Source organism: Homo sapiens, chromosome 1, assembly GCF_000001405.40.
Source record: "Homo sapiens chromosome 1, GRCh38.p14 Primary Assembly".
In the NCBI taxonomy this organism is placed as follows: Eukaryota; Metazoa; Chordata; class Mammalia; order Primates; family Hominidae; genus Homo; species Homo sapiens.
The window spans coordinates 30783295-30811024 of record NC_000001.11 but is presented as its reverse complement, the minus strand read 5'-3'; the positions used below and the strand labels follow the sequence as shown (position 1 = coordinate 30811024).

The 27730-nt window shown below is 52.2% G+C and overlaps 5 annotated features.

Annotated features, from left to right (window-relative positions):
• Nucleotides 593-1093: an enhancer, noted in NCBI's record as "H3K27ac hESC enhancer chr1:31282779-31283279 (GRCh37/hg19 assembly coordinates)". NCBI's record gives its function as "activates a minimal SCP1, AML or CMV promoter by ChIP-STARR-seq in naive H9 embryonic stem cells {active_cell/tissue: H9 hESC(naive)}" and the evidence as "EXISTENCE:reporter gene assay evidence [ECO:0000049][PMID:30033119]".
• Nucleotides 5376-6041: an enhancer, noted in NCBI's record as "NANOG-H3K4me1 hESC enhancer chr1:31277831-31278496 (GRCh37/hg19 assembly coordinates)". NCBI's record gives its function as "activates a minimal SCP1, AML or CMV promoter by ChIP-STARR-seq in naive and primed H9 embryonic stem cells {active_cell/tissue: H9 hESC(naive and primed)}" and the evidence as "EXISTENCE:reporter gene assay evidence [ECO:0000049][PMID:30033119]".
• Nucleotides 6042-6709: an enhancer, noted in NCBI's record as "NANOG-H3K4me1 hESC enhancer chr1:31277163-31277830 (GRCh37/hg19 assembly coordinates)". NCBI's record gives its function as "activates a minimal SCP1, AML or CMV promoter by ChIP-STARR-seq in primed H9 embryonic stem cells {active_cell/tissue: H9 hESC(primed)}" and the evidence as "EXISTENCE:reporter gene assay evidence [ECO:0000049][PMID:30033119]".
• Nucleotides 8949-9243: an enhancer, noted in NCBI's record as "tiled region #4114; K562 Activating DNase matched - State 4:PromP". NCBI's record gives its function as "activates a minimal TATA promoter and a strong SV40 promoter by Sharpr-MPRA in K562 cells {active_cell/tissue: K562}" and the evidence as "EXISTENCE:reporter gene assay evidence [ECO:0000049][PMID:27701403]".
• Nucleotides 22642-23154: an enhancer, noted in NCBI's record as "H3K4me1 hESC enhancer chr1:31260718-31261230 (GRCh37/hg19 assembly coordinates)". NCBI's record gives its function as "activates a minimal SCP1, AML or CMV promoter by ChIP-STARR-seq in primed H9 embryonic stem cells {active_cell/tissue: H9 hESC(primed)}" and the evidence as "EXISTENCE:reporter gene assay evidence [ECO:0000049][PMID:30033119]".

The window sequence follows — 27730 nt, the reverse complement described above, 5'->3', positions numbered from 1 at the left end:
AAAATAGCCTTGGTTATGTCGGGGAAGACTTTAAACTTCCTTTCTCCAGTACTTTCCAACATTTTGATGTTTCATCTTCTCAGTCTAGTCTCTACCCAGATGCAGTATGTGCCCACTGTGAGGATGATGTTATTCCAAGTGAGATGTTACCCTGGCAACCAACTTACCAACTCACTCAATTAACCAGCTTCCTCTCTGTAATCAATACTCATTAGCGCCGAATCACTTCTTCGCTTTGCCTTGCAATTTTAACCACTCATCCGGGTCAATCTGTATTTTAAAAGTAACAGTCATTTCTCCTTTGGAATAGGGAAACTCATTTGAACCCAACAGAACTCCTTTCCCGGGGGCCCCTGAGGAGGCTGTCATCCCAACTCACGCTCACCCAAGGAAGTACCAGCTGGTGATCTTGGTGGCATTGGCAACGGAGCCTCCCCAGTGGCTTCCAGCAAGTCACTGGGGCCTTGCCCATGGGGGAACTGACAAGGAGGAAGGTCGCACCTGCCATTGGAAACCAGAGAGACAGCTTCTGTGCACCCAAGAGACTCCTTGGAGGCTCCAAGGGAGAAATACTACCATGGGATGGTTACTGTAGACTGACATGGTTTGAGAATAGAGAGAAAAAAATGTATTATTAAAAACCCAAACAGTCTGTTCCACTTCCCACTCTGCTTCTAAGGCAGAGGATGGGGGGTGGTGGTGTAATTCATGTCTCAGGGAGATAAAATTCTGCACAACTTCCTTTGCTGCACAGAACCCAGTGGGAGACAAGGGGGACAATGGATATTCCAGAGCCTTTGCAGGTTTTCCGGAGCTGCGGCTCCACAGGGGACCTGGAGTGGGTGGCCTTTGGTGGAGCAGGAATATTTTGTGGGTCTCCAGAGGTTGGTAAGAGAGGAGAGGGAGGTTGAGTTCTAAGGAAGCAGAGCCCTGAATGCGGGGAAGGCGGGCTGAGTGCTATGATGGTGTAAAGACTTCTTGTGGCCCTAAACTTCATGAGAGTCAGCTATGTGCACACGTGCCCTGGGTAAGGGTGTTGGAGGCAGACTTGGGGATGCAGGAAAAGAGGCCTGTTCCATCTCTGGAATGTGATGCAGACAGCAATAGCACTGCTGGCCGGCAAGATGACCCACACATGGAAACACTTAATTAATTAATGAAAAGCGTTGTCCTAGGCAATGGAAATTCATTAGAAGTTGAAGCAGAAAGATCCCTGCTCTCAAGGGCTCGTGTTCTAGAGGCAGAGGCAGAAAACAGGCCAGGAAATGAATGAATAAGCACTTCAAGTATGCTGAGTGCTCCGAAGATAATGACTCAGAGAGAGCCTGGTAGGTGGCCCCTTTAGACGGTGCGGGTTGGGGGGCCTCTCTTGGAAGCTGATGTTTGATTTGAGCTGACAGCTGAAGGATAAGAACTGGCCATCTCATGAGAAGCCCAGAAAGAGTGCTCCAGAAAGAGCAACCTCCGACTGTCCTGGCCATGCGTTCATTTTCTCCACCAGAAACGAATGCTCTCTACTCCGAGTGCCTTCATATCGACTCCAGGTCTCTCTCAGGGGTCCCGTGACTTCTGATACAGACCCTCTTTCCAGCCCTTAAAAACACTCAGCTTCATTGGTAATAATAACAATAAAGCCAGCACACCTATGCAATACCACTGTCATCTTGTACATTTAGGGGATTAAAAAAAAGTAACTGGTGAGGATCTAGTGAAATGTCTCTCTTATACGCTGCAGGTGGAACTGCGAATTGGGAACCCCTTTGAAAGCAACTGGAAAATATTTATTGAAAGCCATAAAAATGTTCCTATTTCTGGAACCAGTAATCTTATTTGAGGATCTGTCCTAGGGAAATAATATAAACTATGGAAAAAGTCTGTGCACAAAGATGTCCAGTTGAATGTTATTTATAAGAATGCAAAACAACACTGCTTCAGTGTGCAATGACAAGGGAAAGGTGGTGATGGGTCAACCCAATGGTATATGAGGTCATCATGAGAGCTGAAACAGTGAAGCCATATCTTTGCAGTCACATGAATCTTAGCTCAAATCCTGACTCTTCCAGTTTCTTTTTCTTTTCTTTCTTTCTTTCTTTCTTTTTTTTTTTTTTTTTGAGATAGTCTCGCTCTGTTGCCCAGGCTGGAGTGCAGTGGCACAATCTCGTCTCACTGTAACCTCCGCCTCCTGGGTTCAAGTGATTCTCCTGCTTCAGCCTTCTGAGTAGCTGGGATTACAGGCCTGTACCACCATACCCAGCTAATGTTTGTATTTTTAGTAGAGACGGGGTTTTGCCGTGTTGGCCATGCTGGTCTCAAACTCCTGACCTCAGGTGATCCACCTGCCTCAGCCTCCCAAAATGCTGGGATTACAGGTGTGAGCCACCACACCTGGCCTGACCCTTCCAGTTTCTGCTGTGTGATCTTGGTCAAGTTCTTTAATCTCACAGGGCCACTGGGCCTCAGTTTCCTGATAGAACAGGGTATCATTCATCTTATTTTTCATGAGCAGAGGAGTCATTTCCATGAAGAGCTGCATTCCAGGCAGCAGGTGGTCAGTGCTCCAGCAACCCTCCTCCTCCCCCACAGTGACAGCTCACCAAGCACTTTTACTTCCATAATCTCATGCAATCTTGACAACCTCAGGACGATTATTTCCACTTGGCAGATAAAGAAACTGAGGCTAAGTGAGGAGGAGAGTAAAAGTCACCCAGCAGTTAAGAGGGATAATCAGGACTTGTCCCCAGGGCTTCTGACCTTTGCATGTGCGTAGGCAACTCCTACGCATCCTTCAAGACCCAGTTCAAATATCACCTCTTCTAGGGAGCCTGTCCTGATACCTCCCTGTCTGTGCTCCTGTGGCACAGGGAGGCTTGTGACCTGGAGGCATGCAGGGGCTTTGGCAGAAAGTTTAGCTCCAGATTCAAGGCCCAGCTTCCCCCTCCCCCACCTCCTGAGAAGATGGAGTGGCAATCACTCTGGTTATATCTCCCTCCTGATTTAATAGGTGAAAAAGAGGGTTTAACTTTCTTTGGTACTCAGAGGGTGGTGAGGTTAAAAAATGAAGCACGTTCTTCGAAATGACAGCTGTCCTTTTTTCTTCAGCATGGATGACTCTGGAAATGTCCCCTGCGTGGGCATGCGCCATTTAATAGAGCATGGCCTCGGGCCTCAGTTGCCCTGTCTGTCCAGTAGAGTACTTCCTCGGAGGGTTGTGGGGGGTCTGCATGAGTTAATTTATGTAGAGCTTTCTTCACAGTGACTACTGGAAGCATGGCACGAATGTGAGCTATTATTTTCATTAATCTTATTACTGAAGGGCACACTTTGCACGGGGTAATTGCCTGTTTACTGAGAGGCCTCCCCGGGCCAAGCGCAGGGCCCGAGGCAGGGCCTGGCAGGATGCCCGGCTCCGCAGAGCGCAGCGAGGGGAGGAAGAAATGAAGAGATGTCCCCGGGGAGGTGATATTTGAGTGGGGAGAAGACGGAGAGGCTCCGGGAAGGCACCCGAGGCCACGGCCAAGGCAATAATGAAATGCGCGGCTGCGGCTTCCGGGGCGCGCCCCGGGGAGCCCTTGGGACCCGCTAAGCTGGAGCTTAACCCCGGCGAGGGGCGGCGGGCGGCGGCCCGGGGCGGGGGCGGGGTGGGAAGCATCCCACAGTCCGGATCCGCTGGCTGGACAGGGGCGGGTGTCTCCGTGAGGCCCCCAGGCTCGGGTTCTGCCCCACCCAGCGCGGCCCTGTCGCCTCGCCCCGGATTATTTACCCCCAACCCGACCTCACTCCTAGCCTGCAGCTAGGACCCGAGGTCGGGAGTCAGCCAGCTCTCATTCTGGTCCCGACCCAGCCTCTCACCAGCCGTGTGACCTTGGGGAGGGCACTGAACCTTAGGCGCTCCGAGCCTCAGTTCCCGCCTCTGCAAACTGGGAATAATCATAGCGCAAGCATTAGGATTGTTGTGAAACTAAATGAGTTAGTTCAAGGATGTAGAACAGGCACACAGTAAGTGCTCAATAAATGTTGGGGGTTGTTTCTTTGCTTGGCATCTCGAGGACTAGTTTGGGAGTCCTTCGGGGGAAGGTGTTGAGCCTGGTGCTGAAAGCAATGGTTTGAATCCCGTTCTGTCACTATGTGTGTGACTTGGCCAGGCCATTTCTGCTCTTGGAGCCTCAGTATCCTCATCTGTAAGATGGGGGAATGTCCATCTTAAACAGTTATGCAGATGAGGAATAAAACATCAGCTCCCGTTTGGGGAGCCAAGCATGATGCCACCTGCTCTGTGCCTCCACTAAACTCACATAATCCTGGGCATGGTAACCCCTCGGCCATTCCTTCCACTTACAAACTGGGGCTTACGGGGTTTACTCATAACCTGCTTGAGGTCCCACAGCCAGAACGTGGGGCAGCTGAGGCTGGACGGGAAGTCTCTCTGATGCTGTGTGGCTTCTCCCAGCAAAGGGAAGAATGTGTGTCTGTTTTGTCAGCCACAGAACTGGGCAGGGCTTCAGAGAGGCTGGTGAGCCCCAGGCCCCCATGGGAGTGAGGTAGGTCAGGCATGGCCGTGAGCTTGGCAAAGGGCAGGCTTGACCTGAGTTCTCATCTCTGCTTCTTGCCTGAGTGGTCTTGGACAGCTGCTCATTATTGAGCCTCGAGTTCCTCATCTGTCAGGTGGGCACCTCCTGCTTCCTTGGTTATGTTAGCTGAGGTCACTGTAGAAACAAGGAGTTTATCAGAGAGACGAGGGAACCAGGTGAGGTAAACCCCAACCCCAACCCTTCTGCCGGCAGAAGGACCAGCACAAGTCAAGGCGTGGAGGTGTGAAACCGGATGGAGGATTGGCATTGGAGGCTCAGAATGGCAGGAACAGGGGTGGGCTTGCAGAAGAGGCTGGAGAGGGAAACAGCATCCCATGTGAATGGCTTAATGATGAGTGAAGAGCTTGGATTTTATTTCGAAGCAGACTTTGAAGGCTGAGAGTTGAGTTAGGGCTTGGGGCATTAGGTAAGTCCACCTTCAACACCAACAGGAGCACCTGTCTCCCACTGAGAGCCTGCGTCTTGCCTAGCACTTGACAGGTTTCATTTAATCATCCTTAGAACAACCCTCTGTCTCAGGTAGGCATGTCAATAATCCCCATTTGAGGCACAGAGAGGTTAAAGAAGTGGTCTGGGGTCACACAGCTGCTAAGGGTAGAGTTGGGATTTGAAGCAGTCTGGCCAGCTCCAGTGTCCACACCCCTAACCACTTCCCCCTCTTGCCTCCCTGCCTGGTCAGCCCTGAGCACCAGCCCTTCCAGGGCTGACTCTGAGAAGTCCCAAGGTCGTGGATCTCTCTGTCTCTGCCCAGCCTATTCCTGCTTCGCACCTGGGCTCTTGGGCCTAGGTTGACTGACGGTGAAGCTTTAATGGAGTAGCCTTGGCTGCCGAGGCAAGGGGGAGGGGAGCAATCTCTCAGAAATCCAATAAGTCAAGTGACTCAGTGTGCCGGCAGCCCCCTTCCCACCCCCGCCTCAGTTCTGGTCCCGGCTGACTGAGGTCACGGTCACCCGCACTCCACCCCACCCCAGCCTGCCCCAGCACCTCCTTCCTGGCCAGGGTCTTGGGAACATAGTCTGAAGACTGCCCCCAACCTTTGCCCTGGGTCCCCTATCAGGTGCAGCCTCCTCAGTCTCTGCCTCCTGTCCTGCCCCTGTGCCACCCTCCCGGACCTTCCACCTGGGTCATCTTTCCCAAAGGCAAATTGGATCTTGTCTCTCTCCTCCTCTCTGCTGCCCCAGAGTGGGGGTCCCAATCCCCCCAGATAGGCCAGCAAGGTGGTTTGCCATCATCTCCCACCCACCTTCCCAGCTCTGTGTCCTGAAACTTCCCCAGACACAATCAGTAAGCATCTCCTTGTGCCTCCAAGAGTCTCTGAGCTTCTGTAACTAACCGCTGTGCCCCCTGCCAGGAAAGCTCTTCCTCTCATCGTCATGGTAAAATTCTACTTAGCTTTCAAGTGGCACCTCCTCCTGAAAGCCTTCCCTGATTTCCCCTGGCAGGCCTAGTTACTCCTTCCCCTGTGTGCCCCCAATGCCTGGTTTGCGCTGGCGTTAGCAGTGATCCTATTGTATGACAATTATTTGATTAGCCGTCCCCTCTCCCCATCAGACTTTGAAAACTCCTCAATAATATCCTAATAGCTGTCATCACTGAGGGCTTACTATGTGCTGGGTACCGTGCTAAGACTTTACCTGCCTGATTTTCAGTTTTCTCAATAACCCTGGAGGCAGGCAGCATGCCTATCCCCATTTTACTAAGACAAATGGAAGCACGGCCAGGTGAAATGACTTGCCTGAGGTCACACAGCACTTAAGTGGCAAAGCAGTCCCTGCAGAGGTAGCCTCTTAACCAGCCCTCTTTGCTGTTTCCTCTTCCAAGCTCAGGCCCCAGCACAGATCAGCCATGCCCAGAGATCTGCTGAGTGAATGAATGAGCGGGAGACCCCCCACGGCCAGGTCTATAGATTGGGAGGTTTAGGGAAGGGAACTAGCATGGAGTGAGCTCGTGAGTGTGACAGGAGTGCCCCCAGCAGCCCTGGGGCCCTGATACTATTATAGATTGAGTGTCGCTAACGGGAAAATCTGAAATCTAAAATACTCCAGAATTGGAAACTTTTTGAGCACCGACATGATGTTGAAAGGAAATACTCATTGGAGCATTTTGCATTTCTGATTTTCAGATTAGGGGTGCTCAATTGGTACAACACAAATATCCCCAAATCCAAAAAAGTTCAAAACCCCAAACACTTCTGGTCCCAAGCATTTCAGATAAGGGATACACAACCTGTATTTCAGTTCACAGATGAGGAAATGGAAGCTTGGAGCTCTTAAAGGACTCCCCCAAGCCCAGAGTAAATTGGTTGCAGAGGCAGGGGGTGTGTGATTCACAGCCCAGGTTGGGACAAAGGTCTGGGGGGCCCTCTGCTTCTGGAGAGGAGAGAGAGGCTCCTTTTTATTTCACCAAAGCTCCCCCTGCAGAGATTGGGGTCATGGCCTTGACTCTGTTGTCAGGGGGCCTGAGAAGGGCATGGTCGGGACGTTTTCAAGTAAGAATTCAGCTAAGGCCTGGTGAGGAGAGGCCGTGTGAAGTGTCTGCTGGAGGAGGGAGAAAGTGAGTGTAAGTTGTGGGTAAGAACTTGAGCTTTGGAAATGGACAGTGCTGGGTTTGAGTCCTGCCTCTGCTATCTGTTAGCTGTGTGACCTTGGGCAATGCGTTCACCTCTCAGAATCTTACTCACCTTATCTGTAAAATGGGGATACTATGCCTCATATCAGGTTCTATTGAGGATCACAAAATGTTGCATCCAAAGTGTTAGTACTTGGCACATGGCACTTTGTAAATAGTAGTGTTTATTAGTAGAGTCAGCATTAGGCTAGAATTCGGGTTAGGTTGAGTTGATAGAATTTTGAGGGAAAACCTCGGACCCAGGGCTGCCAGACTGTTTGGGACCTGTCTGCACTTGTCTGTGCCTTAGGATCGCCCAGAGGACTCTGCTAGGGATCAGGACAGGGCTGAGCTCAGAGCTGGGTCTTAGGTCATAGCAGAATGAAGAGTGAAACAGACTGGAGTTAGAATCCTGCTTTTCCCACATTGCTGGGTGACCTTGGACAATGTATTTGCTCTCTCTTTCTCTTTTATTTTTATCGTTTTGAGACAGGGTTTCCCTCTGTCCCCCAGGCTGGAGTGCAGTGGCTTGATCATAGCTCATTGCAGCCTCGACCTCCTGGGTGTAGGTGTTTCTCCCACTTCAGGCTCCCAAGTAGCAGCTGGGACTGCAGGCGCACACCACCATGCCCAACTGGTTTTTTTTTTTTTTTTGAGACAGAGTTTTGCTCTTGTTGCCCAGGCTGGAGTGCAATGGCACGATCTCAGGTCACCGAAACCTCTGTCTCCCGGGATCAAGTGATTCTCCTGCCTCAGCCTCCCAAGTAACTGGGATTACAGGCATGCGGCACTATGCCCAGCTAATTTTGTATTTTTGGTAGAGATGGGGTTTCACCACATTGGTCAGGCTGGTCTCAAACCCCTGACCTCTGGTGATCCTTCCACCTTGGCCTCCTAAAGTGCTGGGATTACAGGTGTGAGCCACTGTGCCCAGCCCCCCAGCTGTTTTATTTATTTATTTATATTTATTATTGTTATTTTTTTGAGATGGAGTTTCTCTCTTGTTGCCCAGGCTGGGGTGCAATGGCACAGTCTCAGCTCACTGCAATCTCTGCCTACTGGGTTCAAGCGATTCTCTTGCCTCAGTCTCCTGAGTAGCTGGGATTACAGGCACCTGCCACCACGCCTGGCTAATTTTTGTATTTTAGTAGAGACGGGGGTTTCACCATGTTGGTTAGGCTGGTCTTGAACTCCTGATCTCAGGTGATCCACCCGTCTCGGCCTCCCAAAGTGCTGGGATTATGGGCGTGAGCCACTGCGCCCAGCCTTATTTTTTGTATTTTTAGTTTGAGGCTGGCCTCGAACTCCTGAGCTCAAGTGATCCTCTCGCCTTGGCCTCCCAAAGTACTGGGATTACAGGCATGAGCCACCGTGCCAGGCCCACTTGCTGTCTTTAAGCTTCAGTTTCCCTCTCTGTAAAATGGGGGTAATACCACCCACCCCAACAAGGCGTTTGGTTAGGATTAAGTAAGATCATGGTGCCAGCCCTTAGACCTCAGTGAGTGTTTTACATTTTAAAAATGATTTTCCTCCCCAGCAGTTTTCCACGTCAAATTATTTGTTTCTAGAGAACGACCACGTAGCTGCTTGTAGCTGGCTTTCTTCGTCCATCCTTCCATCCACCCGCGGTTGGTCCCTGCTGGAGTCAGATCTGCAGCGGGCACTGTGGATCCAGAGGCAGCAGAGGAGAGGGGTCAGGAGAGGCCTCCCTAGGGCTGAGATCCCTGGTTGAGTTTTGCAGGCTGGCAGGGGAGCTGCATGTGCGAAGGCACAGAGGCCTGCCCGTGGAACTATGCGGAGCTTTATGAAAATCGGAATGGGTCAGGGGTACAAGCAAAGCCCCAGCGTTTCCAGCGTTCTTCCCAACCCTGTCGCCTGTCGCTCGACGCGGACCTCCTGCAAACGAAGCGCGGGTGCCCTCTGCTGGCCTTTCCGCGGACTGCAACTTCTACTTTGGGGACTCCCAGCCCCCGTGTCTTTGGGAGGCAAATGTCCATAAAAGCTGGAGTATCTCAACTGGAAAGACCCTCAGAAATCACCCACCCCTGACTTCCCGATGGAGACATGAGGCCCTGTGTGGGGCAGGGAGCTTGCACAGGGCAGGAATTCGGGCCCCTGAATCCAATAGAGGCTGGGCTGGCAGTGCCTGGGGTAGGGAGGTGCCCAGGGAGGGTTCTGGCCACGGAGCTCCAGCCTGCAGGAGGTGGGATGGGGGGTGGAGGGTGACTGCAGAGAGCAGAGGGGGTTTCAGATTCTCAGCCCCTTGCCCCATCTGGCTGGCTTAGTCGTGGGATTTCCTGTTTTGTCTTGGAGCAGCGGCATTGCAACCTGATAGCCATGAAACAGGAGCTCAAGATGAGTGTGTGTGTGTGTGTGTGTGTGTGTGTGTGTGTGTGTGTGTTTGTGTGTGTGTGTCTTGAAGGGTGATGTTGGCATCAATCAGTAGGTGTCCTGGGCTGGTGACATCACCCCCCTACTGCTCTGATCTTCCTTTAAAGCTCTTCCTTTCTCCACTCCTAAGTCCCCAGCGGCTGCCACTATCGCCTGGCCCTTGGTTCTCCAGCAAAGGTGGTGGCAGGTGAGAGGACATGAAAGCAGGAAAGACCCTTACCTTTAGAGCCCCAACAGAAGATAGCCATGGGTGCCAAAGCCCGGATGGGCTCAGAATGGGCAGGCTTCATAGGCGATGAGAAATGGGGAGGGTAAGAGAGAAGCAAGTTGAGGACAGTGCTCAAGCTTCTGGCCTAGATGATGGGTTGTGCCCTCGATGAGATGAGGAGCTTGGGAAGACCACAGTGACCTGATGCCTGGAAGCTCATCCTCTGTGGAGAGCACTGTTTTCTATATCATCCTCCTGGCAGGGTGGCTGTGTATGTGTGTGTGCATGTGTGTGTGTGTACATAGGCACTGTGTGTGTGCTGGGTATGCCATGTCCATCAGCTGGGAGACTGGGTTTACTAGGGATGGGGCCATAAGACCAGGAGGAGGCCTGCCTTGGCTAGGAAGTGACCCTTTGTTTCCAGTATGGATCACATCAAGGCCAGTAAGACTGCGGTCTGTTCCTGGTTGATGGTGGGCAAGGAGGGCCTGGCTTAGCCTGGCTTAGAGTGCAGATGGGAGTTCCAGGCCTGCACCCATCTTTCCCAGTAGGGTGGCCTCAGGCAAGTGCCTGCCTCTCTCTAGGCCTCTGTGCCCTCACCTGACAAATGGGGCCAATGAAGCATAGATGCGTGGAGAGGGCGAATGAGGCACTGCAGGAAGAGTGCCCAGTGCCGCGTCTGGCACACCGTGGGCCCTGGGTGAAGGGCGGAAGGTATTAGTATTTCTTAGCTGGCTGCTCTGGTGCTTGGTAGTCGGGACCCATCTCCCTGTCTGACTTTATTGCTCCTAGGCCTTCCTCCTCACTCTGCTCCAGCTGCACTGGCCCTCCTTCCATGCCTGGAGAACACCAAGTTCATTCCAGTAGGGAGCCTGCACCGCGGCTCTTCCTGCTGCTGGGTTCAGTTGTTGCATTGCCTGTTCCTTCTCAGCTCTCAGGTCCCTGTCTAATGTCACCTCCCTGGGGCAGTCTCTCTGACTACTATAGCAAGGCACCTACTGTGCCTCTCGACAGCCAGCCTGCCTTCCTTCCTTCTCTTTCTTTCTTTCTTCCTTCCTCCTTCCCTCTTTCCCTTTTATTTCTTTCTTTCTTTCTCTTTCTTTCCCTCCCTCTCTCCCTCTCCCTCCCTTTCTTTCTCTCTTTCTCTTTTCTTTTCATTTCTTTTCTTTCTTTCTTTCTTTCTTTCTTTCTCTCTCTTTTTTTCTCTTTCTTTCCCTCCCTCTCTCCCTCTCCCTCCTTCTTTCTTTTTCTCTCTCTTTTCTTTTCATTTCTTTTCTTTCTTTCTTTCTTTCTTTCTTTCTTTCTTTCTTTCTTTCTTTCTTTCTTTCCTTTCCTTTCCTTTCTCTCTTTCTTTCTTTCCTTTCTTTCTTTTTTTCGTCTTTCCCTCCCTCCCTCTCTCTTTCTTTCTTCCCTCCTTCCTTCCCTCCCTCCCTTCCTTCCTTCCTTCTTCCTCCCTTTTTCTTTTTTGAGATAGGGTCTTGTTCTGTTGCCCAGGCTGAGTACAGTGGTACAATCATAGCTCACTGTAACTTTGAACTCCTGGGTTCAAGGGATCCTCCCACCTGGGCCTCCCAAAATGCTGGGATTACAGGCATGAGCCACCATGCCTGACCCCTGTTGTCTGGGGCACTGTTGTTGGAGTAGGTGCTGCTGGAGAGTGCAAGTATGTTCACCTATGTGCTCACATGTGTGCCTGGACATCTGGGGGAAGATTGAGGCACTTTCCAATACATCCTAGCACCTGACACCACCAGAGCCTGAGTGATTTGTTGACTGTTTGTTGCCCCACCCCCATCTCTCAGGCTGTGAGCCTCTTCAGGCTGGGGACCTTGTCTCTTGTGTTCCCAGCCATGTCTCTGGTGCCTGTAATAGTGTCCAGCACATAGTAGGCCCTCAATATTTATGTGATTTATGTGTGGACTGTGCAGAGGCTTCTAGTGCATGATAATTTGGAGCCAGATGACCCTGGCTTGAAATCCCCAATCCTGGCTCCATCCCTCATTGGCTATGTGGGTCTTACTGGGCTTTGGTTTCTTCATCTGTTAGATGGGGCTAAGGAGAGTGACATCACAGCTGGTTGTTAGGAACCAAAAAGGTCATGAGCACACAATGTGTGCGCCAGGAGTTACTGAGAACAAGAATGATGTTGGTATTATCAAGCAATGACTGTGTGCCGGGCACTGCTCTGAGATCTCTACTTCTTTTAACTTATTTCATCCTCACAACTGCCTTATGAGGGAGGATTATGATTATCCTGTATTACAGATGAAGACACTGAGACTCAGAGAAGGAAGTCCCATGCCCAGCAATGACCCTGACTCCCCAGCAAGTGCTGTAGACGCAGGCACTTTTGAGGGCCCGGCCAGTTTCCTCCTTGGCATTTAACCAGTGCTCAGGAAGGACTGGAAATCAGGTGACCCAAGTCTGATTGCCATCTCTGCACTGACTTGCTGTGACCCCGGGGGAGGCTGTGCCCCTAGGATCTCCTCTAGAGCCCCATTTGTCCATGTGCATCATGAAGGCATGGGACCAGGTGCTGGTGGGTTGTGAGGGGTTTGCAAACTCCAGCGCCTGGGGCCAGGCAGGAACTGGGAGGAGGCGGGTGGAACCGGGAGGGCTGGACTGAGCTGGGCAGTGGCCACTCAGCTCTGGCTGATGATGGCCAGGCGGGAATGCAGGCCCAGTATTGCCAAATCTTTGAACTTTTCAAGAGAAGCAGAAAATTTGGATTTTTAAATGTGAAATCTGATTTTTAAATGTTGGCAACAATTTAAAAAGAAAGAAAGAAAGAAAGACACTGTGTAGGCCAAACAAAGCCCATTTGTGGGTTGCATTTGAGCTCGTGGCTGTCACTTTGCAATCCACAAGATACTCAATATCTAGAGGCCTCTTCCTGTCCTTGGGCCTTTGATAAAAATGACTCACACTGTTAAGTACTTACTATGCCCAGGGGCATGAGTCTGATGCCATTTAACTCTCTCCCCACCTCCTTACCCACCATGTAATATTTTCCTACCAGGTAATGTTATCATCTCTATTTGATAGGTGGGCAAACTGAGGCCCAGAGAGGTTAAGTAATGCGTCCAGGGTCACACAGCTAATAAATGGCATTGCTGGGGCAGCCTTGCTGAGCAGGGCTCTCCTGCTCCAAAGCTCACCCATGTAACCACTTTCCCATACTGCCACAATGAACTTGACCTCCTGCCTCCAGGGCTCCCCAGTCCTGGCCTCCTGGGGACTCATGCACTCACTGGCTGACCCCAAGGTTGATCTAGCATAGTCTTGGCCCAGAAGGGGGGATGACCAAGGCAGGGGACCTCCTGATCCTCCCAGGACTCTGGGTTCTCCTCTCCCCAGATCCCCAGGTGCTGCAGGCTGCATGGGACACCTGCTGGCCTGATGAGAAACCTGCTGAAGCGGCATCAAGGCCATGGCCTCCTCCAGCAGCCCAGCCACAGGCTGGAGGAAATGTCTTCTCCTTTTGGAAATCCTGGCGGGGAGGGGCCGGTCCCTGTGTCAGCCAAGTTGCTGTCGAGGTTGCATATTTCTTTCTTTCTTTTTTTTTTTTGAATCGCGTTCTATCGCCCAGGCTGGAGTGCAGTGGCGTAATCTCGGCTCACTGCAAGCTCCGCCTCCTGGGTTCATGCCATTCTCCTGCCTCAGCCTCCTGAGTAGCTGGGACTACAGGTGCCTGCCACCAAGCCCAACTAATTTTTTGTATTTTTAGTAGAGACGGGTTTCACCATGTTAGCCAGGATGGTCTCGATCTCCTGGCCTCATGATCCGCCCGCCTCGGCCTCCCAGAGTGCTGGGATTACAGGCGTGAGCCACTGTGCCTGGCCCAATGTTGCATATTTCTCCAGGAACCCCTGCTACAAACTAGGGCTGAAAATCCCCCAGGTGTCTCCAAGACCACGTGTGCCTGTGCTCAAGTGGGTACCTGGCTCTGCAAAGGTCACAGTGTGTGAGGGTGAGTTTGGAAAGTGCCTGTATCCGCATGGTGGGCTTTGCTGTCCACTGTGGCGGGGGGCTGTCTAGGGGTACTGTTGTTGGAGCAGGTGCAGCTAGAGAGTGCATGAGTGTGCACGTATGTTCACCTATGTGCTCACATGTGTGCCTGGACATTTGGGTAAAGATTGAGGTTTGTTTCTTTTTCTTATTTATTTTTTATTTTTTGAGACGGAGTCTCGCTCTGTCACCCAGGCTGGAGTGCAGTGGTGCGATCTTGGCTCACTGCAAGCTCCGCCTCCTGGGTTCATGCCATTCTCCTGCCTCAGCCTTCCTAGCAGCTGGGACTACAGGCGCTCGCCACCACGCCCGGCTAATTTTTTTTGTATTTTTAATAGAGCCGGGGTTTCACCGTGTTAGCTAAGATGGTCTCGATCTCCTGACCTCGTGATCTGCCCGCCTCGGCCTCCCAAAGTGCTGGGATTACAGGCATGAGCCACCGCGCCCGGCCTTTTTTATTTTTTATTTTTTATTGAAGTCTAATTTTCATACAGTAAAGTGTGGAAAGCTTTTTTTTTTCTTTCTTTGAGACGGAGTCTTGCTTTTTCGCCCAGGCTGGAGTGCAGTGGCACGATCTTGGCTCTCTGCAACCTTCACCTCCCCGGTTCAAGCGATTCTCCTGCCTCAGCCTCCCTAGTAGCTGGGATTAGAGGTATCTGCCACCATGCCCGGCTAATTTTTGTATTTTTTAGTAGAGATGGGGTTTCGCCATGTTAGCCAGGCTGCTCTTGAACTCTTGACCTCAGTTGATCTGCCCGCCTCAGCCTCCCAAAGTGCTGGGATTACAGGCGTGAGCCACTGTGCCTGGCCTAGGTATGCAAATCTTAGATGGATTTTTATATATGTATAAAACTGTGACTATCACCTGTGTCCAGGGTCTCACTTGTGCCACCTCCCTACAAGGAAGGTGACCACTATTCTAGCCTCTGTCACATGTATCAGGACCTGAGTTCCCCTTGAGGTTTTTTTTTTTTTTTTTTTTTTTTTGAGAAGGAGTCTTACTCTTTCACCCAGGTTGGAGTGCAGTGGTGCGATCTCAGCTCACTGCAACCTCTGCCTCCCAAGTTTAAGTGATTCTCCTGCCTCAGCCTCCCGAGTAGCTGGGATTACAGGCATGTGCCACCACGCCCAGCTAATTTTGTATTTTTAGTAGGATGGAGTTTCAGCACGTTGGTCATGCTGGTCTTGAACTCCTGACCTCAGGTGATCCACCTGCTTCAGCCTCCCAAAGTGCTGGGATTACAGGTGTGAGCCACTGTGCTCAGCCTCGTCCTGGTTTTTAAAGTGGCAGAGCCTAGGATCCAGAGAGGAGACTGACCTGGTCTCGGCCGCATCAGCCTGCCCAGGCCTTGGCTTCCTTCAGCTCTAGCTGTAACTGGGTGGGATGTGAGGGCACTTTGATTATGCCTTCACATCTTAGGCCCCTTGAGCACTTTCATAGCCCAAGCAGAAGGCAGTGTGGGGCCACGAAGAGAGAGCTGGCTTTGCCGCCATGCAGGAGACTTGAGGTCGAGTCCTGGCGGGCCACGAAGAGAGAGCTGGCTTTGCAGCCATACAGGAGACTTGAGGTCGAGTCCTGGCTCTGCCACTTATTTATGGTGTAATATTGGGCAGGTCGTTTTGCCTCTCTGAGCCTGGGTTTCTTTCTCTGTAAAATGGGAATGTAATAGGACTCACTTCAAAAGAGTAGTGTGAGGATTAATAGTAGTAATGGGGCTCATGATGGCTGCCAGACTTGGAGGGTTTATCACATGCCTGATGCTGTGACCACACTGAATCATCCCAGCAGCGATATAAGGAGTTTATTGCTGCCATCCCCATTTAATGGAAGAGAAAACTGAGGTGCAAAGGGGTTAAATGGTTTGCTCAAGGTCTTCTACTAGTAAATAGTAGTGCCTGGATTCCAGCCCAGATCTATCTGACTCCAAAACCCAGAATGCTTAACCCAGGAGGGTTATTCAAGATACTTAACAATTGGCCTGGCCTGGGCCTCAAGCCATCAGAGTAGATGCCTGCCATAAATAAACACGTTGCATGTGCTCCCGGCCCCGTCTCATCCATGACACACTCGAGTGTGTTAAATGGGATTAATCCAGGAAATCAGATTACAGATGTCAAGCAGCTTGGAGAACCATGAAGCACTCCACAAGCGCTGGTTTCTATTTCTTCTCACATTGTGGGACTGGATAACTGGCCTGGGAACCAGGAAACCTGGGTTTACGTCCTGGCTCTGCCATTAACTTGCTGGAAAGCATTGGAAGAAAGTTTCCAGAGTCAAACATTAACAAGGCCAAACCTGCTAAAGAGAGGGTGCTCCGTTAGTTCCTGCCGTTCAGGCCCCTCCATGTGCTAATTACAAACAGCTCATAAGCCAGGCCTTCGGCTGGACCAGGTTGTTAGAGCATTCAATTAAGGAACGGCATGTTAGAGCTTCTAAGAAACATGCTAAAATATATCGTATGTATTCTATGTGTACAACTTGCCCTACTTAAAGCACAAAACCTGGTGAGTTTTGACACCTGCGAAAGTGTCCCACAATCAGTGTACTACCATTTCCATATCTCCCCACTTCTTCTCATTCCCTTTAGCGGTCCATCCCTTCCCCTACTCCCATTCCCAGGCCAGCATTGATCTGTTTTCTTGCCCTCTAGATCGCTTTTCCTTTTCTAGGGGTTTCTATAATTGAAAGCACAGAGTATTAGACTTCTGTCTAGCTCTCTTCATTCAGTGAACTCTTTCCTGAGATTTAGCCCTGTTTCTTGAGATGTATCCCTGTTGCTGGGTGTTCCTTTTTATTGCTGAGTAGTACTCTGCTGCATGGATATATCACAATTTGTTTTTCCATTCACCTGTGGATGGACATTTGGGTTGTTTTCAATTTTTGACTATTATAAGCAAGTGGCGACAAACATTAATGTGCGTGTGCCTTTGGGGGCATGTTCTTGTTTCTCTTGGGTAAATACTCAGCAGTGGAAGGGCTGGGTGGGGCAGACTGCTTTCCAGGGTGGCCGTGCATTCCCACTGGTGTGTGTGAAAGTCGCTGTTGCTCCACATCCTCACCAACACTTGGCATGGCCGGCCTTTTTCATTTTGACCATTCTAGGGGGTGTGTAGTGCTATGCAGTGTGGCTCACACTGCAGTGTGGAAGAACAAATGGTTTCTGATGGTCTGTGATGTGCTGGGAGGAGCTGATCTGAACAATGAAGAGGGTAACTATTGGAGGAGTGGGTGCTGGTTTATTTTATGAGGCACCAGAAGGCAGAACTAGGGCCAATTAGTGGTACCCATAGGGATTTCAGAAACAGCTTTCTATCTGTCAGGACTGTCCAATGACGGAATGAATTTTCTTACGGAGTAGTGAGCTCACCATTGCTGGGAGTGGTCAAGCCCTTGAGTAGCTGGTGAGACTTGTGGGGTTGGATTAGATTTCTAACGAGGTTCCTCCAGGCCTGCCTATTTTGGCTTCTGTGGTTCTAGGAATCATCAGGTGATAAAAGCCTCGTTACCAGAGTAAGCATTAATATCCAAGTCTTGCTGGCTCCGCCCCCCACCTACGCCTGTGGGAACTCCAGCTCCTGGGTTCATTCTTCTCTCCTCTCAAGAGTGTGGGTGAATCCCCACCCCCTCCCACCGCTGCTGCTGCCTCCAGCGTCTCCATCGGGGTCCTGCCCCAGCGGGGTCCTGCCTCCCAGGGCCCCCATGCTCTCAGTCCTCTGCCACTTCGGGAGCTCACTGCTTGCCAGGGAGAGAGGGGAAGGGCGCTCCTTGAGGATGGGTCCCCTGGCAGGGCGGCGTGGACCGTCTTCAAAGCAGCTCTCTCTGCCCACACTCAGCCTACCCACCCAGGATTGTTGCTGCTGCTGAGGTGGCCGGGCTGGAGCGGGTCCTGGTACCAGGTGTCAAGATGTGTCCAGAACCAAGACCCCCTCCAACCGGGGGCCCCTGCCACTGAATCTCGCTTGCGACCTGCTCTCCGCTTTCTCTTACGGAGCCTTTCCTCCTCAGCTCCTGGCAGTCTTGCCTGGTTTCCATTGGGCACCTGCCCCAAGTCAGTCAGTCACATCATACATGTGTCTGAACCCCAGCCATGGCGAGGTGCAAGTGCCTGTTGCCCCGTGGCCATCCTGTGACCAGGAGGACGGTTGCACATGGAGGCTGGATGCTGAGTGTCACCCAGCCCTCATACTGCATGCATCCAGATCTCAGATCTGGCAGGTCCTCTATGACCCAGCAGAAGTAATCAAAGGCAATTTCTTTTAAAAGGAAGACTTTCTTTGGGACTATGTTTACCCTACTTGATTCTTTTATTTAAAAATAGGTAGGCTGGGTGCAGTGGCTCACACCTGTAATCCCAGCACTTTGGGAGGCCGAGGTGGGTGGATTACTTGAGGCCAAGAGTTCAAGACCATCCAGGGCAATATGGCAAAACCCAGTCTCTATTAAAAATACAAAAATTAGGTGAGCATGGTGGCGCATGCCTGTAATCCCAGTTACTCAGGAGGCTGAGGCAGGAGAATCACTTGAACCCAGAAGGTGGAGGTTGCAGTGAGCCAAGATAGTGCCACTGTACTCCAGCCTGGGTGACAGAGTAAGACTCTGTCTCAAAAAAAATAAAAAAAAAATAAAAAAGTGTAGAGCATATCCACTTTTGAAACCAGTTTTGTAGAATGAGTGTTTTCCGTGTATGTTAGCTAGCCTCTAACATGGCTCCCAGTGGTCCCTTCTCCTGGGATTCGTGCCCGTGTCATCCCTTCCAACACTGTACCAGGGTGCGTCTGTGTGAAGGATAAAATACGGGAGTACTGATGGGGCGTCACTTCTGAGATCAGGTTGTGAGAGATGCTGCAGCTTCCGTCTTGGTAGTTTTCTCTCTCTTTTAGGTCATTTGCACTGGAGGGCCAGCTGTCCTGTCCTGAGCAGCCTTACAGAGAGGCCTGTGGGGCAAGAAACTTAGGTCTCACCCCAATAACCAACAAGAAACCGAAGCCTGCTGCCCACAGCCCTGTGAGGAGCTTGACGGCAGAGTCCCCAGCCCAGTTGAGCTTTCCAAAGATGGAAGCCCTGGCTGACGTGTTGGTTGCAGCCTCACAAGAGACTCTGAGTCACAGCCACCCAGAAAAACTTCTCAATTCCTCTGTGACATAATGAATGCTGTAATTTTAAACACTGAGCATGGGGCTAATTTGTTATGCAGCAATAGATAACTAATACACCCTGCGATAATGTACTAGGATTTGGGACATCAGTCATTTCCTCCTGCTTTACCCCACCCCAAACTACCGGGAGCCTGCTGTGCTATGGGGAGCCCTCCTGGTCCAGCACAGCTGATAGGACCAGGGGAGTCACTTGACCAAAGCCAAGACAATTCAGTTGTCCCTTCTAGAAATTCTTTCTTTCTCCTTTCTCCCTTCCTCCTTCCTTCCCTCTCTTCCTCCTCCCCTCCCTCTCTTCCTTTTTCCCTCCCTTCCTTCTTCCCTCCCTCCTTCCTTCTTCCCTCTCTTCCTTCTCCCCTCCCTCTGTTCCCCCTCCCCTCTTTCTCTTCCTCCTCTCCTCTTTCTTTTCCTCTTCCCCTCTTTCTCTTCCTCCTTACTTCTCTCTCTTCCTCCTTCCCTGTCTCCCTTCCTCCTTCCTTCTCTCCCTCCCTCCTTCCCTGTCTTCCTCCTTCCCTCTCTTTGTCCTTCCTTCCCTCTCTTCCTCCTTCCCTCCCTGGTTTCTTTCTTCTCTCTCTCTCTTCCTCCTTCCCTCCCTGTTTTCTTTCTTCTCTCTCTCTCTTCCTCCTTCCCTTTTCCCTTCATCCATCCCTCTCTCTCTTCCTCCTTCCCTCCCTCTCTTCCTCCTTCTCTCCTTCTTTTCCTTCTCCTCTCCCTCTCTTCCTCCTCCCCTCCCTCTCTTTCTCTTCCTCCTTCCTTCCCTCTTTTCCTCCTTCCCTCCCTTTCTTTCTGCCTCCCTCTTTTTCTTGCTTTATCCCTCTCTCATTTTCTTTCAGCAGGAAGAGAAGATGGAATCAAATAGCTGTGAGGTTGAGCTAGAGTAGTGGGTAAGCTCTGGAGATAAGGCAGCCAGGCTGGCCTGCAGAGAGAGAGAACATTGCAGCCAGAGAGAAGCAGGAGGGATTTAGTGTGGTTGAGGAGACACACGCTGCTGAGGAGCTGGTGGTTTTGTGTGTCTCGATGGTGCTTCCGGCCGTGGAACTCTGGGGCATTCCTCTGATGCTAAAAATCATTCTTTTGACTGGGGCTCTCATAAGCTTCTGCTTTTTCCCATCAAATGATCGTCAGACAGTAGTTTTTGAAGGCCACATTTTTGAATAGACACAGAATGTCCCATAGAGTGGAGCTGCCTGAGTTTGCATCACCATTTCAGGTTATGCTTGGACATCACCTCATTGAACACTTGGGTAAGCTTCAATTTCTCTCTGTTATAAACAATGCCCCGATGAGCATCTTTGGCACTCACAGCTTTTTTCACATCTCCAGTTACATCTCTAAGAGGCCTTTCCAGAGGTGGGAGGAGTGTGTGCCATTTTAGACAGTAAAAGTACCCTGCTAGATGACTGGCCAGGCGCGGTGGCTCATGCCTTTAATCCCAGCACTTTGGGAGGCTGAAGTGGGCAGATCACCTGAGGTCAGAAGTTCGAGACCAACCTGACCAACATGCTGAAACCCCATCTCTACTAAAAATACAAAAAATTAGCCGGGCGTGACTGCACATGCCTGTAATCCCAGCTACTCAGGAGGCTGAGGCAGGAGAATTTCTTGAACCCGGGAGGTGGAGGTTGTGGTGAGCTGAGATGGCGCCATTGTACTCCAGCCTGGAAAACAAGAGCAAAACTCTGCCTCAAAAAAAAAAAAAAAAAAAAGTACCCTGCTGATGACTTTCCAAAATAATGGCCTGACACGCCCACCAGCAGTAGCAGGCATCACTCACCTCACTGGCCCTCACTGGCGTCAGGTCTCTCTCACTGGGGTTGGGGGGTGTATTCTCCTGCTGTTTGTCAGGCTGCTGTGAACTTGACCCTCTGCTACATGCTTGGGGATCAGGGGTCACCCAGTTTGCGCAGCAGCCATGCAGTGCCAGGTCTCTGGGGTCCGAACAAGTCAGCAAAGATGTATGTCATGATGGTTAGAATGAAGTGGATTCTAAACACCACTTAAGAATACATTAATAATGGTGTTGGTGTGTTATTCATCTTGAAGAAGTGACAGATGTTTCCCTCAGCAAAATGCTGACGTGGGAAAATGAGTTGGGAGTTAGGAGATTGATGAGTTTCTTCCAAGGGGCTCATTGCCTCTCGCCTGGACAACCTCCTTCCCGGTCCCCTGCCTCTGGCTCCAGCCTCCATCCACGCTAGTGTCTAGTTTGTCTTCCTGAGGGAGTCTGGGGACGTGGGATAGGTGCTGGGTTTGGAGTTGGGTGGTGGAGATCTGGTCTGGGTTCTATCCCTAAGCTCCTAGGTGTGGGGACATCAGCTTTTGTTACCCCCATTCTTGGGCCAGCAAATCCAATTTTCCTTTGGGGTCCCACCCTCTTCTCAGTCCTGGGGTGCCATGTGGGGCTGACACTGCCCCCGCCGCCTCACCCCCACTCCAGGAGTAGACACATTATCCCCAGACGTGGCCACTGAGAGTCCTGCAGACCTGTGGCAAGTGTTTGTCAGAGGGGAAGCATGTGTCCCAAGGTAAGCCTGGATCCAACCGCACCTGAAGTTCACTCTTCAACATCCTGGTCATGCTTGCAGAGTCCCTCGTCCTTTCAAAAAAGCCAGTCTGAATCAGGTGCTTGTCACTTGCAAACAAGAGTTGCCTCTGAAGACACAGCAGGACCTTGAATAAGTCCTTTGTCTTTGGTGGGCCTCAGTTGCCCTGTCTGGAAAATGAAGGGTTGGATTCTCTGAGGTTCTTCCAGCTCTGGAGGTTCACAGCCCCCATCTGGGCCATGTGACTTACACATCGAGGGGGGCCACAGGTGGACAGGCTGACTCTAGTGGAGACTCAGTTGCTCTGTGGCCTTGCCAGGAGAAAGCTCGGCGGGCATGCTCTCCCCAGACCTCCAAAATGCTGCCTTGGAAAGGAAGCAGTGGCTTAGCAGGCACCCCCTGGGGGTAGGGGAGGATCCGGGGGCATATTGGGGTTCCATCCTGTGACCAGCAGTGATAGGTGCTGCCCCTTCTCTGCATCTCTCAATGGCTCCCAAGTACCTTCAAGATTAAGTCTTATCCCTTTAGATGGGGAAAGAGCAAGACTTCTCACAGGGCTTAATAAATATTCAATGAATGAATGAATGGAAGAACAAGCACATTCCCTTCATGACCAGGCTCCCTGGCTGACTCCGCAGCCCTAAACTCCCCAGCCCTAGACCCTCCTCCTTCTGCTCTGCACAGCAGCACTCCCTGCCTTCTTGGACACGCTATGTCCTTTTGTGCCTTGGCCTTGTACATGCTGTTCCCTCTGCTTGGAACATCTCCTCCCACCACCTGCCTGGCAGACTCACGTAGCCTTCAACACTCAGCTCAGCGCATTCATCCGCTGACTCAGCCAACATTTCTGGAGCCCCTCCTGTGTGCCAGGCATGATCTATGTGCTGGCATTGAACAAAAAAGGTATAGTCCCCCTTCTCAGGGAGCTGCCTGCTTGTGGGGAGGCCACCAGCTGGGGATGCATGAGCTGAAGGACATTAAGCTGGGGGAAGAGATGGGGAGTATTGTGAGGAGCACTTTTTGGGGTTCTCTGATCCAGTGATATTTTGAGGTGAGGGAGTGGGCCTCGCAGGTCTGGCCCAGGCAGAGGTAACAGCAAACGCGCAGGCCCTGAGCTGGGAGCCAGCTTGGAATGTTTGAGAACCGGCAATGAGATCCCAGCGGTTGGAGTGAGGGGCGAAGGGCAGGGGAAGAGGTTCAAGAGGTCACAGCCGAGGGCTGGGGGGCAGCTGCACACTTGCTGGCCTTTTACCCTGAGTTGGGGGTCACTGGGGAGGGCAGGACGGGAGCGTTTTGAAGCAGGGACAAGGGCAGAAGTTGGGAGGTTGAGGTGGCAGCAACAGGAGCCATGGAAGTGGTCGGATCCTGGGTCTGCAGGCGTGGGGTGTCGGAGAGACAGGGTCGAGGATAAGCAAGGGGGCATCATCACCCACAGAGTTGGGGGTGCCGTGAAAGCAGGTCTGGGGCAGGGGCCGCCAGGGCTGGGTTTGGGCCTGTGGATTTCGAGATGCCGTCACTCAGCTGCGTGAACTCCTGGAAGTGAGCATGGACACAGGAGTCCCGTGCTCTGGGGAAAGGCTGGGGCTGGAGGTGTGGGTCAGGGAGAGAGAAGGTGGTGGAAGCCAGAGACTGCGTGGGTCACGTAAGGAGGGAGTGAGGGTGGGGCACAGGACCAGAGCCTCCCAGGAGGTCAGGGAGGCCAGGAGGCACCGGCAGAGGAGCCAGGAAGCAGGAGGAAAACCAGAGCGAAGCTGCTGAGGACTGGAGAGGAGACCCAGCCTCCCTGTGTTAGGTGCTGCCGCCGCCTACACCCAGAGGCACTTGGCTATTTGGTCCTGCCACAGGCAGGCCATGGGTGATCCTGAGAAGACATATGAGGATGAAAGCCCAGTTGAAGCAGAGAGGGAAGTGGGGGACTGGAGAGTGTGGCAGAGGGGTCAGGAGTCAGGGGGCATCTCTACAGCAAAGCCCTAATGAAAGGGGGGAGTCAGGGATGTGGATGCCTTGGAGGAAAGTTCTACCGGCAGAGTGAACAGCTGGGGCAAAGTCCCCAACCATGAGTGGGGCAGCCTGTGTTTGGAGAACTAGCAGAAGGCTGTTTTGGGGGAGGTGGGCAGCCCAGGGCTTCGTGGGCTGGGAGCAGGCTGGAGTTGAGTCTGCCTGAGGCTAATGGGCAGCTACAGAAGGCTTCGAGTGCTTGATTTATTTATTTTTTTAAAATGCCCTTGGCTGGGCACGGTGGCTCACGCCTGTAATCCCAGCACTTTGGGAGGCCAAGGCGGGTGGATCACTTGAGGTCAGGAGTTTGAGACCAGCCTGGCCAACATGGTGAAACCCCGTCTCTACTAAAAATACAAAAATTAGCTGGGCATGGTGGCAGGTGCCTGTAGTCCCTGCTACTCGGGAGGCTGAGGCAGGAGAATCGCTTGAACCTGGGAGGTTGCAGTGAGCTGAGATCACGCCACTACTCCAGCCTGGGCGGCAGAGCGAGACTCCATCTCAAAAAAAAAAAAAGCCCTCTGGCTCCTGAAAAAGGCCCTCTGGAGTCTTTAATTCCTGTCCCTGCTGACTCCCTTCCTGCCACACCCTTATCCCGGGCCCTCCCCTGACTTCCCAGCAGCCGTGGCTGCTGTCCCCTCTCCCTCTGATCTCAGCCAGGCTGCGGGGGCCCCCCTTGGCCACCCAGGCAGCGGAAGCTGGGGGCCAGTGGGCATCCCCTGGGGCCTCTCTGGCCGGTGTGAGGGTCCTTTGTCTCCATTTGATCAGGCCCTCGTGGAGCCGGAAGTAGCCTCTGATACCCACCAGACAAAGGGCTTCTTTGAGAGGCCAGGAAGTGGCGAGCTGGGATTTATCTGCCCAGGGATTTGTGGGACCATCCGAGGGCCACAGGGCAGGAGCCCTGGTCCTCACAAACCTGTTTCTATGATGTCACTGATCTTCCTCCCTCCACCTCCTTGCTCAGCTCTCCCTGAGTCCCCCAGTCTTTTCCTGCTCTGGCCCTCCAAGGAGCCTGTCACAACAGTGCAGCTCTCATGCGGAGCTGCCACAGCAGGTGCAGCAGCTCTGAGAAGGGAGACAGTTCTTATTCCTGTTTCACAGGCAAGTGAGCGCAGGCACAACAGGGTTAAGTAACCAAATTCCCATGTAAGGGGTGAGCTGGGGGGCACCCCCCGGCAGACCCACTCCAGAGCCCACTCTCTTAAGCTCCCTGCAGTGCGCCCACAGCATCTGACTTGGGTAGGGGGGTCATGCAAGCTTATGTCTTTTTTTTTTTTTTTTTTTTGAGACAGGGTTTCACTCTCTTGCCCAGATTGGAGTGCAGTGGCGTGATCTTGGCTCACTGCAACCTCTGCCTCCCAGGCTCAAGTGATTCTCTTGCCTCAGTTCCACTACTGCACGGGCTAATTTTTGTATTTTTTGTAGAGATGGGGTTTCACCATGTTTGCCAGGCTGGTCTCGAACTCCTGACCTCGAATGGTCCACCAACCTTGGCCTCCCAAAGTGCTGGGATTACAGGCGCGAGCCACTGCACCTGGCCAGCCTCATGTCTTTTAACCACCACATTTTACAGAAGGCCTTGAGAGGGGAGGGAATTGTCATGTCACATAGCTAGTTAGGGAGCAGAGCCCAGGGCTGGGCCTTGGAGTGGAAGAGGCTTGGATTTGAATCCCAGCTCTGTGCTGTTGCTTGTTTGTGACCTGGGCAAGTCCCTTACCTCTCCTAAGGGTTATTTTTCTTGTCTTGAGGCCAGCAACACCCTCCTGCGGGATCGCTGTGCTGACCCAATGCACTGAGACACGCCTCTGTCTGGTGCAGGACATATCCCCGAGGTGCCAGTTCCTTTTCTTCCCCTTCGCTACACCCAGGGCCAAAGCTGACCACAGTTCAGGGGGTGACATGTTCCAAGGTGCTTACACCTCAGCAGTGGCCTCTGAGTACCCCCCGGAGCCATAGCCTTTCATCAGGGTGCCAGCCCTAATCACCCAGGGTGCTCCTGCAAGGCTTCAGGTCAGAAGGAGTGAATCCCCAGTAGCAGAATGCCCGACCCTGTGGTGGGTGGTGGAGAAGAGGCTTGGAAGGCTGGAGTGTGCAGGATCCATTCCCACATCTCCAGGGTGGGCAGCCAGCCCTGCTGGAGGAGCAGCCGCCTTGCTGGGCGGGCAGGTAACTGAGTTGGCTGAGCCCGCACTTCGTTAAAGGGGAGGGGACTCAGGGTCTGGGGGCTCAGGGAGCTACTGATCTGTCAGGAAGCGCTGCTCAATTTTCCCCGATCAGACCTGTTTCCCAAACAGCCTTTCCTGAGGGGGAAGGATCCAGGACAGGGCCTCCCCCTGTCTTCTCCCTATGGCCCGTTTCTCCTTTCCTAACAACACCCAACCTTCGTGTGTGTGTGCCCCGTCCTGGGCTCAGGACACTTGGTGTCTTATTTGACCCTCCAACAGCTCTGTGCAGGGGGCACACTTGGGCCTATTCCAGAAGAGAAAATGGAGGCTCTTCCACACAAAACCCCTTGCTCAAGGCCATGCAGCTACCAATTCGTCAGCCAAGATTCTAAGACTACTTGGCTGGGCGCGGTGGCTCACACCTGCAATCCCAGCACTTTGGGAGGCCGAGGTGGGTGGATCACCTGAGGTCAGGAGTTCGTGATCAGCCTGGCCAACATGGTGAAACCCCATCTCTATTAAAAATACAAAAATTAGCCGGGCATGGTGGCGCACGCCTGTAATCCCAGCTACTTGGAAGGCTGAGGCAGGAAAGTCATTTGAACCTGGGAGCGGAGGTTGCAGTGAGTCGAGATCGCGCCACTGCACTCCAGACTGGGCAACAGAATGAGACTCTGTCAAAAAACAAAACAAAACAAAAAAAACTACATTCTTAACCCCTACTCAGGGCTGCTGGGTCAGATGGGAATGCAAACTTGAGTAGGCAGCAACCAGCAGGGACGGTGGTCCCCCGTGTTAAGAGAAGGAGGGTCTATCTTTCTCACATGATGGGAACTCTAGGGCTGGTGCACAGGTCAGCAGCATTGTCAGAGTGCAGGCTCTCCCAACTCCGTTGTCCCTAACTTGTGGTGTTTGCCCTCGTAGTTCCAAAGTGCCTGCTGTGCCTCCAGCACTCACGTTTCATTCCAGGCAGAGAGGCACTGGGAAAGTCAAAGGTCTTGGGAGGCTTTTTTTAAAATTTGGGAAGTAGCCGGGCGTGGTGGCTCACACCTGTAATCCCAGCACTTTGGGAGGCTGAGCGGGGGAGATCACTGAGGTCAGGAGTTCTAGATCAGCCTGGCCAACACGGTGAAACCCCGTCTCTACTAAAAATACAAAAGTTAGCCAGGCATGGTGGCAGATGCCTGTAGTCCCAGCTGAGGCAGGAAGAATAGCTTGAACCTGGGAGGCGGAGGTTGCAGTGAGCTGAGATGGCACCACTATTCTCCAGCCTGGGTGACAGAGCGAGACTCCTTCTCGAAAAAATAAAATAAAATAAACAAAAATAAAATTTGGGAAGTGAAGCCCTTCCTCATTGACTCCCACCTAGATCTCTTGGGCTAGAACACGCGCCTGGCTACTCATGGGTGGAAGGTAGTCAGGAAAAGAGCTATGAGCCTTCCAGCCTCAAGAGCTGGGTAAGGCAATGGAGGGGCAGCTAGGGGAGGTGTTGGGGGTGGGGGATCCATGTCCCTGCCTGGCTACTGTGGTCCTGCTACTGGTTCCACGCCCCCTGCAGAGGCTCCACCCCCGCCGGAGAGTTGAGGGACTTCCTTAATGTGCCTCTGTCACCCAAGGTCTGGGAGGTCACAGGAAGCCAAGAGAGCTTGAGCAACAGGGCAATTTGTTCTCGTTGCCTCATTTTCCTCATCTTTAACGCTGGGCCTTCACCCTACCTGCCTGACAGAGTGGCTGGGGGGATTAAATGAGACAGCGCGCACAGGGGCTGCGGCGGCTGAGCCGTGGACTCTGCATGGCACATGGTGTTTCTGGAGTGCTGCTGCCAAGCAATTGCCTTCTTCGTCCTGGCTTCAGGTTTCCCAGCTGCAAAATTGGATGAACGAATCATATTCTATGCCATGGGGTCATTCTGAGGATTAAATGACATTACACACCAAAGTGCTTCAGGGGCCATCTCCGTCTGCTTCTGCTGATTTCCGTGGGGTAGAGTCATAGAAGGTCAAGGCCCCTGTGAAGGTTCTTGTACCCAACAGGGGAGGTGCTGTTTCCAGCTGCGATTTGAAGAGG